The 11,255-nt window shown below is 31.8% G+C and overlaps 1 long non-coding RNA gene across 1 annotated transcript; it reads left to right on the top strand.

Moving 5' to 3' along the window:
- The first annotated feature begins 712 nt into the window (after positions 1-712).
- LINC02686 (long intergenic non-protein coding RNA 2686) lies at positions 713-10,995 on the top strand. Its single transcript, NR_187200.1, has 4 exons — positions 713-993; positions 8,049-8,144; positions 8,500-8,626; positions 9,751-10,995. It is a non-coding gene; the product is annotated as a long intergenic non-protein coding RNA 2686 (long non-coding RNA).
- The last annotated feature ends 260 nt before the right edge of the window (positions 10,996-11,255 follow it).

Genomic DNA, 11,255 nt, shown 5'->3' with positions numbered 1-11,255 from the left:
CACTTTTACACTGTTGGTGGGACTGTCAACTAGTTCAACCATTGTGGAAGTCAGTGTGGCAATTCCTCAGGGATCTGGGACTAGAAATACCATTTGACCCGGCCATCCCATTACTGGGTATATACCCAAAGGATTATAAATAGTGCTGCTATAAACACACATGCACACGTATGTTTATTGTGGCACTATTCACAATAGCAAAGACTTGGAACCAACCTAAAAGTCCAACAATGATAGACTGGATTAAGAAAATGTGGCACATATACACCATGGAATACTACGCAGCCATAAAAAAGGATGAGTTCATGTCCTTTGTAGGGACATGGATGAAGGTGGAAACCATTGTTCTCAGCAAACTATCATAAGGACAAAAAACCAAACACCGCATGTTCTCACTCATAGGTGGGAATTGAACAATGAGAACACATGGACACAGGAAGGGGAACATCACACACTGGGGCCTGTTGTGGGGTGGGGGGAGGGGGGAGGGATAGCATTAGGAGATATACCTAATGTTAAATGGGTGCAGCACACCAACATGGCACATGTATACATATGTAACAAACCTGCACGTTGTGCACATGTACCCTAAAACTTAAAGTATAATAAAAAAAATAAATAAAAATAAAATAAAATAAAAATAAAAATACCTTCCAAAAAAAGAAAAGATACAAAGAGAGGTATTTTACAATTTTACCCTGTAATATCCAAATGCTCTTTTACTCCATGGTGTACTTCACCTACATTTTCATTTTTTGTCTTCATTTTTTGTCTTTGTAATTGATCTGCAGGCTAGTTGATCTTGACACTAATGCATTCAGAAGGCTCCACTGTGGAGCAGGGGAGTAGGTTGCTAGGCAACCTCACGAAACAGCAGCATTGCTGGGCCTCTTACCTATAAGAGTCTTGTTTGGGGAGAATCTAAGGCATTATACTACTTCTAACTCTTCTCCTTAGGCCTCAAAAAAACAGAGATTTGAATGAATACTGAAGGTATTTAAAAAGGATTATCGTGATTTTTTTTTTTTTCAACTCAATATTAATGTCTTATTCTCAGGCTTTAGGTGGTATCTTTAAAAACTTCCTTTGGCAGTTTTTAAATATCAGATTAGTGTTCTATTAAGGTCTTAAAATATGAGCCAAGTCAAGAGAATAACACATTTATTTCTCCTATTTTTGGGTTTCACTCACTGACTATTCTAAACCACATCTTCATAATTGTTTATAGCTGTTTATAATTCATAATTGTTGTGTTGTGCATTCAAAGGCCATTGTGAATATTAAGAAATATTACAGGGCTGTTGTAGCATTCAATAATTCAATTTTGTCACTATTTCTATTAGGTAAATATTGATTATGATCTAGTCATAGGGGAGAGAGGAAATCTAAACATTTGCTATTAGATTTGGTTCATCGTGGAGGTAGTAAACTTTTATTCTCAATTAGAGGAAATCATCTCATAAAATAGGAGATATTCATCTAGGAACACATGGACACGATTTTATTTTTTTTTTTTTAACCATTGTGCATTTCTTCCTCTTCTGGTGTCATCTCAACACAAGAGAGAGTTGATTTGCTAGGAAATATAAAACAGCTTTTTAAAATGTGGTCTGCACTACTAGAACAATTCTCTACATTTGTGTGTGTCTGTGTGTTTTCCTTGAATCCAAGGAGGTGATGAAGAAACATTCACTTTTTACTAGTAATAGTAAATGATTTACTAGTAATACTAAAAATTACTACTATTTACGAGTAGCAGTAAAGGTCAAACAATGGTACATATGTGATTCTTCTAGGGCTTTCCTCAGAATGATGTGTTTAGATAACAGACAGACACAATTTTGTCTATTTATATAGCATGTATATTTTTTCTTGTGCTCATACGTATTTTCATATGCTGTTAAACTTCTGTATCATTTTTATTATGTACATATTTAAAAGTAGCCTTAAAATCTAGGTTATTTATTAATATTTGTAATGGAAAGGTAATATGGGCACTTAGTAGGGACATTTGTCATGGGGAAAATACCAAACTAATTATTTAATTAGAAAAAAATTCTTAAGTTTTCTTTTTTATACTTTTTTTTTCATTGGTAGATGAGATCTATTCACTGAACCTGTTTACATAACTAAGGCAAGTGGAAGGAATATGGAATGACTACCCTAACAACACCAGCTTTCCTTTCTGAATACATCATCCATCACTTTCTTAATTAAACTCTCCAAAGAGGGTCCATGATAAATATGGTAATCATGATTTCCTTAAAATATAGTAAATTATACTATATTTTAAATTAATATCATTTACTAACACTGTTATGGAGCATGCTCTGCCCTCTTAGAACTATTTTATTTTTATTCACAGTAAGCAGGTAGCTTACTTTGTTCAATATGTTATTTCAGAGAACTCTCTGAATATAGGGTTGTCATGAATTAAAATTAGAAAAGTAGCAATTTTCTTTCAAAACTGCTTTGAAACATAACACACAAACATAGTCATATACACATGAATAAATTTATTTTAGACAGAAAAGTACGTGATGTCCCTCTTAATATAAATCTTGAACTTTATACAGTAAAGGAACAAAGCTGGGCTGTATCAAAGTGTTAGTTATGCTCTGAGGCTTAGTACTGTTGTTGTTGACAATACATATTATCAGAAAATAAATTATTCCAAGAGCTGGAAATCTTTTTTATTTCCTAACCATTAAGAGAGGTATAGAACACTCAACGGAAATAAAGAGGTATAACAAAGCACAGAAGAAATTGTGTCTGAAAACTATGGTTTAATAACATTGCATTTACTGTTTGGTTATCTTTCCTATGTATATTAATTCAAATCTCCAGAAACAAAAAACTCAGCAAACTTGTGTTTGCAACCTGAATGATCCAAATGAATCCCATCCATTAATAGGACTTTACTTGATCACCAGACTGTTACCTAAATTTGTTAAAGTCCCTGAGTTTTAAATTACAAGCAAGATGATGCAACATTTCATGGTTTAACCGTTCAACTTTAGTTTCACAGATTAAGCATATTATATGGTTTTAGTGATATAATGAGGAAAGAATAGACAGTCATTTGTGCATCAGAAGCTGAACCCATAAATGCCTGGTCACCTTTGATTGATACAAAACAGTTAGCAAGTCTATTGCAGTTTTGCAGGAAAAAAAAAATCTCGAAACAAGTTAGAAGAGGTAGGTGTGGAGAAATGCACATGTGTTAAATATATAAGTGAAGAACATCTGTAAGGATTAATGATACACTTGGTGGAGGATAAGAAAGAAGGAGTTATAAATGATGCCTTTTAAGTCTCTGGGTTAAGAATCTTTGACATCTTAAATAAGGAATTTATTATGTACACACAAAAATATATTTGACATGACATCTGCCTTCTTAATTCATGTTTTCTGGTTATTATGACTGTTTCTGCATTTTTGTTTTATTCTCTGCCATTTCTAGTTTAATTATGGTTGTTCTTTCAAATTTCTATTTCCATTTGTATTTTCATTTTGGGGATGATCAACTTTATATTTTTAACAAATCCTTTTAAATTAGTCTTTCTTTGATTACTTCTCTATTTAACACATTTTACCTACACAGCCTCCCTTGCTGAAATTCCAAATCTGTTGAAATCTAGAGTTTTTATTCCAGATTTGAATTTTTAAAAACAGCTTCCTTTTCAAAATCTTTTCTTGAAAATTCAATGAGTATTTATGATGTAGTAATTGAAAATATTTTACCATAATTTGATGTTTTATCTGCACTACACAATTCTTTTTTCATATAAAGCTGTACATCTCCTCTCCTTGTTATTTTGACTAGAGTGATTCCTTGAGTAGTTGTGTATTTTTATTCAACTAGAAATGGCAAGAATCTATAAGACAGAATCTTTGTTGTGATCACAATAGTGTTAAATATGACAAGCCCAATAACTGGTACATATTAGACATGTCAAACTTGCTTAAATTTGTGAAATAAAGTATATTTTTATGTCATCATATATTGAAAGAAATCTGTTGTTGAAAATATTTACCTTTCAGATATATCTAAATCTAGTTCTTATTTATTTTTATAATCATCTTAGATTAGATATGTAATGGGAGAAAGTTTAATTTACCTTACGAAATACTTGGTTCTAAAATATAGATGCTTGCCACATTTTCTTTTAATCCTATTTCAATTCTAATTATTTCAATCAGAATACATTCAAATATGCATAAAAGTATTTTTTAAGTAAGATGGACTATAACTTGATAAGATTTTTAAGCTTATTACGCTTGTTAAACTTTTAAAAATCTTACATCTTCCCTCAGGTAAGGAAATTACCTCCTAATGTTTTTCTGAGTACTTGTTTCAAATAGATGCTTAAGCTCTCTCAATAACAATGGAATCAGTAGAATATCTGAGGTGTAGTCAAGGTATCTATCTATCATCTATCAATCTATCCATCCATCCATCCACACACACATACATACTAGTTACAAGTTGCTTCTTCTGTCTCAAAAGGTTTGTGAGTCGTTGTAGTTAATATCAAGTTAAATTAGGCATAATTTTTTTACTAAAAAAAAATCACTTGGGTTTTATAGAATGGAATGAGAATTATGGAGATGTCAATAACTGGTGGTGAACAAATTAGAAGTTAGATGTAAGACGTATATAATATCGAGATTCTGCTCAGTGTTGAACTATTTCAACTTTTGCTTCCAAATGGGTACACTGGTGTTATGATGCATTTCAGTTTGAAATTCTATTCTCAGTAGCATTTCCTTTGAAATCTCAACAAGCGTGCTGGATAGAAGAGCCTTATGTATATGTACTTATAGGCAAATGGAGTTCTACTTGTATTTATAAATACGAATGGTAAAATATATAGGTATGACTAAATGGAGAAAGACAGTACTTACTATAGACAGAAACACACACACACAAATATAAATATACATGACTTCCCTGTTGACATAAAATTTGAGCATGCTGTTAGATAAAATTTTACTATTCATATCACAGTCTACCATCAAAGGTTATTGCATGCCTCATAGCTCCCCTTAAAACAATAAGTAAGCAAATTGATGTTAACCTAATTATAAGTGGCCTATATGCTTTTCACATGTTTAGCTGTAGAATTCAGAAATATAGTCTTCTGTGAATTTGTGTATCTTTTCTTTTAACTCAGAACTATCCAAATGAAATTTTTTTTTAAAGAACTGAGTCAAAGTGTTTATTTTGAAACTAGAGCTGTTACTTGATTGCATTCCTCTAGAACTAAACTTGAAAAATTTAATTTGGCAAAGTAATTCAGATTTCCGCAAAGAGGTTTACTTGAACCAGATAAAAATCCTTTCAGGGAAGTGAATAAAAAATTATTTTCAAAACATAACATCTGGAATTATTCTCCTTTAACTCTATGGATTTGTTGATAATATCTTAAGATGAGGTATATTTTTTATAAATTCTCTACTAACTACAAGGCTTTATACAGTTTGGGTTTTCAATACATTTTAATTATTATGAATGCTTTTAGTGAGCAGATATACACCCCTTGAAACTCTCTTGTCTTTTAATATGTGTCGTATATATATACATATGCATCACGTAACTCCCCTAGAATCAGAAAAGCATATTTACTGATAATCTTTGAGCTTGTTTCTACTTATGAAAACTAGTTTTATAGAACATTTGTGCTGAAAGTGTATTGCTACTGTCTGAATGTTTGTGTTTCTCCAAAATTTATATGTTGAAAACTAATCTCCTAATGTGTTGGTATTAAGAGGTGGGGTCTTTGGAAGGTTATTAGGTCATAAAGGTGGAGCCCTTGTGAATGGGATTGATGCCCTTATAAAAGAGGACTGGGGGAGTTTGTTGCCACCTTTTGCCATGTGAAAACGCACATTGAAGGGAGCATCTTTACAAAATGATCCCTCACTAAACACTGAATCTACTGGAGACTTGATCTTGGAATTTCCAGATTTGTGAATTTGTGAGCAGTAAATTTCTGTTGTTTATTAATTACTCAGTGTCAAGTATTTTGTTAAGGTAGTTTGAATAGACTAAGACAGTGGTTCTAATCATACTTTAAGTTCTCCACTTCATTGTATTATTTTAGTCATTGAAAAAACTATTTATTCACAAGATGTCAGGAATTGAAATGCCAAGAATATGCCACTAAAACTATACAGAATTTAGTAGAAAAAAACCATGAAGGAAATAAGACCAAATGCTGTGAAGTGAATTGCTCATTGTCTTGTGATGTCAGAACAGTGGTATGTTTTATTTAGTACTGTATCTCAGTGTCTAGGCTGGAGCTTTTGTTGAATAAATAAATAAAAGGTAAAATAACTGCAAAGCTAGAGTTAGAACCTAGGCCCAGACCCAGTCTATTACACTTCCAACTGCCTTGTGCTTGCCTTGCAGATTAAGGTATAACCGATATGAATAAAGAATTCAATGACTGTTTAGAAGACAAAACAAAACTCTCTGAAACCCATGGAAATATCCAGACACTTAGAATTATTAACCCTTTACTACAAATTAAAGATGCTCACTAATGTTATCTTGTTGTCAATCTGATTTATACTGCCAAATTGGAATAACATATATAAATTATATACACATATATTCAATAGCTAGATATAAAAATCTGCTAGTGCTTAAAGAATACGTTTCTCTTATGTAATATAGTGGTTTCCAAACTGAGCGTGTGCATGATGATCCCTTAAGATGCTTGATGAATATTTTATTTATATTTATTTTTATCTACATTATATAAAATTAAACATATCTAATAATATTTATATAGAGACTGGCACTCTCATACACGCATGTTTTCTGTAGACAGCTTTATTTTTGTTAATTTTATTCCTTTAATGCAAACTATAGCTACCCTTGCCCCCCTTCCTCTAGGTTATGAAAGTATTTAATAATTCTGAATTGTGAGCCCAGGTTGAACCACAGCTCACATATACTGTTGTTACAATAGGCATGCTTATGGCTCTCTTTCATGTCCCTGAAGAAAAACACTGCTGAAAAATATGTTTTTTTGTCTTTTCTTTCTTGTTTCAAAGATGCTATAGTAGGCTTTAGATGCACCTTTGATTCTCTGTCACAATATAGGCTGTTGAGAGTCTGGGTGAAATGATTGATCCTGAAGTAGGACCACATCAGTTAGCTTGTCATATGTGATATTTATCTTCAGAGCTGAAAATTCACAGGGATGACTATATAACTATTCTGAGACACAACAGAATATTCAAATATTCAATGAAGTAATTTTCCTAAAAGAAGCACCTGGGAATAGAGGGATATTTACAAAAGTTTTACGTGTTTGTTCGGTAGCCATATAAAATTATTCAAAATGTATGTCAAGCTACCAAACTTTGAAATTTTACTTGAGAAACGTTGCCCTAAAACTATTCATTCTATGCTCTCAAAACATTAGGATTTGATAAAATTTAACTTGCATTTATAAAAGTATGTTTTTAAAAATAACATTATTGTTATTCCTTATAAAGTCATAGTTATCTAGAGCGAGATATGAAATCCCACACTTGTGTACATCTTTGTCATACTAGAACTGCTAGTACTTTGACTTTCTTTGACTTTTTAAAAAACATTTTCTTTATCAAGTATATTATTAATTGTTTTTCTTATGATAGTTTTTTCCTTTAATTGTATGCCAATGTGCAATAGGGATTCTCTCAGGTTTAAGTATATGGCTAGCTACATTTTAAAAGTATTAAGATTATTAGATCATGTGGCATATTTAGCACATTTAATACATGTAGAAAAACTTAAACCTCGTTATAACATTTATTACTAGATTTACTTGTTATGGTTACAACTAAAAATTTGTTAAAATCCCACAGAGTCTTTGCAAAAAAAAAAAAAGATTTAAATAAAATGGATAAAATGTAAGTTAGGTCCTATTGCTCTATTTCTCTTGGAGAAAAAGTACTAATATTGAATTTGTTCTTTATTAGTACAAGGTGCTTTCAGCATTCTTTCTTATTTCTATATTTTGTCTGAATTTTCCATGTTTTAAAAATAGGCATTTCACAATCCAAAAACAGTAATGCCCTTTGAAGAAATACAGCTCTCAGTAACAGCACAGAGTCTGCTAGACTGTCCTGTCAATGTCAGTGGGGTAAGTGCTTTCTAAAGAGTTTCTAGAAGAGATTGTGTGCTTGTGCTACACAATAAACAGCACTGGCTTCCAATAGAACTTTATGGGCAGGCTGGATGATTCCTGGCCTTTCCTGTGGTGACATTAAGCATCTTTATGGTAGTCACTTTGGTGCCCACTACACAGAGCTGCTGAATAAGAAGCAACATGACTTCAAAATTGATCCCTGAAAATCCAAATAATTAGTTCCTGTGATAATTATTTGACATTCTTATTTGGAACCATTTTTGTTTTATTTATGACATATTAATGCTAGGTCAGGTCTCCTGGAGTAAGCAATTTCATGGATCTTTCTTATTTGTCTCTCTCTTTCAAGGTTGCCTAGATTGATTATGGCCTGTTCCTTTGACAAGCACCTAAGGCCCCTGGATTTCTCCAGGCACTCATTAGTGTGACTGCTAATCCCTCTCAAGGCCCTGAAGATACTTCTTTAGAGATCCAAAGTAATTTTCTGGTATTCCATCTAATCTATATTCTAAGCCAAACCATTCTAAATACACTCAGAGTTAATAAAAATCCATCTTGTCCTTTTTATGTGATGTAATAATGGACAAACAGAAATACTTGTTTGTTATCTGACTTGATTTATATAAAAAAGGATTTATATACAGACAGAAATGATATGCTTTTATTTAGGTTAGGAATCACAGAAAATCTTCTAAATAATGAAAGTACCTTACTCAAAGGAAGTATGTCTTGTAGATAAAATTATACTTTCTTTATAAGCTTGAAGTCTTAATAATATGACAATGGTTTGGGAAGTGAACAGCTTTCATAAAAACATCCCAAATTGTAAACATGCTCACTCTTACTTCAGGTATTTGCTGTTTTCTGCATAGGATCATCTTCTCTCACCAGTTATTCTTTCTTTCAATTGTGCATCTACTCTTCCCTTGGGGTGATCTGCATATTTAATCTGTGGATGAGAATAGTCTGGTAAACAAATTATGGGGAATATGAGTATTAAACACACAGGCTCAAGAGTTATAAGCAAGCCCGTTTACTTCATATTTGGCCTGAGTTTTAAACTAAGATTGACTTAAAATCTTCCTTCAGGGACTTATTTTATTGTAAGCACATTTAGCATGTGGAGAGTGCTATTAGTTCAAAAGGATGGTCTGTTGAACTGACTGGAGGAGGGAGTGTATGAATCTTTTATCATGAGTGTTCCTTTCATCTTCATTGAGTCTGGAAATAGAAAGCATGAATACTAAATAGAAGAGAATAATTCTAAGAAAATATATACCATGTGATTTGTTTATTTCGAATCACCTTTCAAACTAAAATTTTCATAGGCGAGAAACCTGTTGCTTCAAACTAGTCTTTGTAAAATGTTCTCAAATCAGTTGAGTATATTTTGCATGCATATTTCCTAGTAATGCCATGGAAAGTATTTGAAAGGAATAAATTCTAGGGAGGCACTGGCAGCTCATAGTTTCATATACTCAGGTTGTTGCTAAAAAATAGACTGAAGAAAAATATTAATAGTCAATATAGCTCATTCATAGAATGTTACATTGCCTGTATTCAAATCACAGCACCACTACTATCTGTGTGTCTCTGGCAGGATATTCAAGCTCTCTTTGTTCCTGCATCTGAAGAATGGGTTAAGAATAGCACCTACCTTCGGACTGCTTTGAGAATAAAGTATTTAATGTACAGCCCTCAGAAGTGTGCCTGCCTTAGAGTAAGAACAGGTCTATCACTTTGCACAATAGGGAACCATTTGGGTTGAATTCTTTGGGATTTGTGCCTGTTGGAACACAGCATATTAAGAGACTGGTGTCTTGACATTCTGCTACAAAACAGTCTTGTATAACATGATGTAAATTAACTGTTATTATTATTTTGATTTGTGCTGGGTGACCTTATTTCTTGGTTTGGTCAGGACAGTCTTGGTTTATTTCTATCTTCCTCATAAAATTGTTAACAACCTCTTTCATTCTCTGAATCCATTTATTCAAGCCTGTTTGAAAGAAATTTGCTAGCCCATTTGTTTAGAACTTTAATATAGAGTATTTTACTTTTATTTAAATCTCAATATATTTAGATTCAGACTCCAAGTCTGCATGGCCTATTACAAGGCAATTTTCTACAAAGATATTCACTTGGCTTGGGGCAAGTGAATGTTTGTTTGTTTCCATTTGGTTTTGCCAAAAGATTCAGATTCTTATTTTATAAGGCTTTACAAAAGTATTTTGACATAATTTCTTCATTGCTAATCAATTTAGTATCCTATATATAATTATTATTTCTGGACAACTGAGAAACAGTATACACTGTTTCAGCATTACTCAAAGTTTTCACATCATTATCCCTATGAAAAGTAATATTTGCTTAGAAGACTTAACTGAAATAAAAGGAATTTGGAGGCATTAATAAGAAAGCCGATAACACAACTTATCACATTTTCTTAAAATTTATACCATTATAAGAAAAATAAATACTAAAGAAGACATTAAATATTGAATTATATAAAATTTCCAAAAATTTTTTTATTTTTGAAAAGAAAAACTGGGGCTTGTTAATATGAACATAATTTTATGCAGATTTTATTTTTGTAATGGTTAAATGTAGTTCTGATCAAGGTTGTTTAAATAACCTTTTCACTTTATTTCCAGTTGTCATCAGTGATAAATTTGACACTAGTATGTAGCAAAAATAGCAAAAAGAAAAACAAATTATTTATCGTCGGGGATATCCTTCTTACCATTAATCTAAATGTGGTTAAGTTTATTTCTTTAAATTATGTGTCAGGTTATAATTTTTCTTTATATGTAATATTTCATTAAAAATGTTATGTTAAAATTTTTTATGAAGATGGAATTCAAAATCAATTGAACTTCTTCACATCAATAATTTGAAAGTAATTATGGTTTCTCTAAAGCATATACAGTTGTTCTACTAGTCTGTTTTTTTTTTTTAAGAGCATTTCAAAGTCCCTTCTTCAAAGTTAGATTTCCCCCGCATCTGAATTCATAAATTTCACTGGCATATGTTAGTCTGTTCTCATGGTCTTGTTCATTTCTATTAAATTCATGCATGCATTCAAATATGTCACTTTCGTAAACT

This window comes from Homo sapiens, chromosome 11, assembly GCF_000001405.40.
Source record: "Homo sapiens chromosome 11, GRCh38.p14 Primary Assembly".
Taxonomy (NCBI): Eukaryota; Metazoa; Chordata; class Mammalia; order Primates; family Hominidae; genus Homo; species Homo sapiens.
This window is presented reverse-complemented; position numbering and strand designations above follow the sequence as displayed.